Raw genomic sequence first — 1,531 nt, forward strand, 5'->3', positions numbered from 1 at the left:
TCTCCACTCCTTAAAACCACTCCACGTAGGCCGGGCACAGTGACTCACGCCTGTAATCCCATCATTTTGGGAGGCCCAGGCGGGTGGATCATGAGGTCAGGAGTTCGAGACCATCCTAGCCAACATGGTGAACCCCCATCTCTACTAATAATACAAAAATTAGCCGGCTGTGGTGGCACATACCTGTAGTCCCAGCTACTTGGGAGGCTGAGGCAGAAGAATTGCTTGAACCGGGAGGCGGAGGTTGCAGTGAACCCAGATGGCACCACTGCACTCCAGCCTGGGTGACAGAGCAGAGCCAGACTCTATCTCAAAAAAAAAAAAGAAACAAAATGCAAAAAAAAAGAAACAAAATAACGCTCCACGTGTGTCCGTGTCATTTTATCTAAACCAGCATGAGGACCAAGAACCCTGGTGTTCCTCCACTCATCAGAAGCGTATAATTTTGTCCATGGTCCGGGAAAGGCAATTCAATCATCAGACTGAAGCAATCAAACTCCAAATGGTGCTGTAAACTGAACCACACAGGGACACGCCATTCTTTTGACGACCCATAGATCGACTCTAGGAGGAGCCCTAGCTGCTGTTCCCCATTCGAAGCCCCTTTTCAGCAGGAAGTAGCCAGAAAGAGTCATTGCCCAAAACCCCCTAACAGCAGTTAGTGTGGCATCTCCACAGGGGGGAATGTTGTAGGAAAAGGGGTCCTTGGGAAGTTTTCATTTTTTAAAGCATCTCCGGAAAAGTTTCTTGTAAAGCCCCAGCTCTTATAGCCAGGCCAGCAACCTTTGATATGTAAATGCAGGTCATCAGAAACTGGATCCACCCAAATATGGAGATTCCTTCGGCCTTCTTGCCCTTTTCCCAGTTGTTTCTGGCAACATGGCCACTCTTACATATCCCATGTGTGTAGAACATCACAGCGCCCTGTATTTGCATATTAAAAGGCTAGGGTGGGAGGGCCAGCTTTTTCGTGGGCTATGTGAATGACATGCCTAGTCAAACCAATCCCCTGAGTCCCATGCAAATCAAACACTGCCTCCTTCAGCCTCTGCATATATAGCTGGCTGGTATCCCTGGCAGGTAGGGACCTCCTCTTTCCACGTTGGAGCCTCATTCCCTCTGTCTCTGTATGGGGGAGCTTCTTCCTTCTGTCTTCTCCCTTCCTTCTTGCCAATTAAACTCTCCGCTCCTTAAAACCAAAAAAAAAAAAAAAAAAGAAAGAAAGAAAAACCTTGTCCTGGCTCCTGTAGCTATGGAAGACAGAGCCAGATTTTATGACTGTGGTCAAGTCCCTTAGCAGCTGGTCAGGTTTCCTCCTCAGCATATCTGGAAAATAACAGCATGCAGCCCCCACACGCTCTGTTTAATGTTCAAAAGCTTGTTGTAAAATATACATAACGAAATCTGCCATTTTAACCTTTTTTTTTTCTTTTGAGGCGGAGTTTTGCTCTTGTTTCCCAGGCTGGAGTGCAATGGTGTGATTTCGGCTCACCACAACCTCCACCTCCCAGGTTCAAGCGATTCTTCTGTA

At 47.3% G+C, this 1,531-nt stretch overlaps 2 annotated features.

The window, feature by feature from the left end:
* Positions 401–966: an enhancer, noted in NCBI's record as "OCT4-NANOG-H3K27ac hESC enhancer chr17:42588763-42589328 (GRCh37/hg19 assembly coordinates)". NCBI's record gives its function as "activates a minimal SCP1, AML or CMV promoter by ChIP-STARR-seq in naive H9 embryonic stem cells {active_cell/tissue: H9 hESC(naive)}" and the evidence as "EXISTENCE:reporter gene assay evidence [ECO:0000049][PMID:30033119]".
* Positions 1,011–1,060: a silencer, noted in NCBI's record as "silent region_8594". NCBI's record gives its function as "represses an Ori minimal core promoter by ATAC-STARR-seq in GM12878 lymphoblastoid cells {active_cell/tissue: GM12878}" and the evidence as "EXISTENCE:reporter gene assay evidence [ECO:0000049][PMID:35858748]".

This window comes from Homo sapiens, chromosome 17, assembly GCF_000001405.40.
Source record: "Homo sapiens chromosome 17, GRCh38.p14 Primary Assembly".
NCBI lineage: Eukaryota > Metazoa > Chordata > Mammalia > Primates > Hominidae > Homo > Homo sapiens.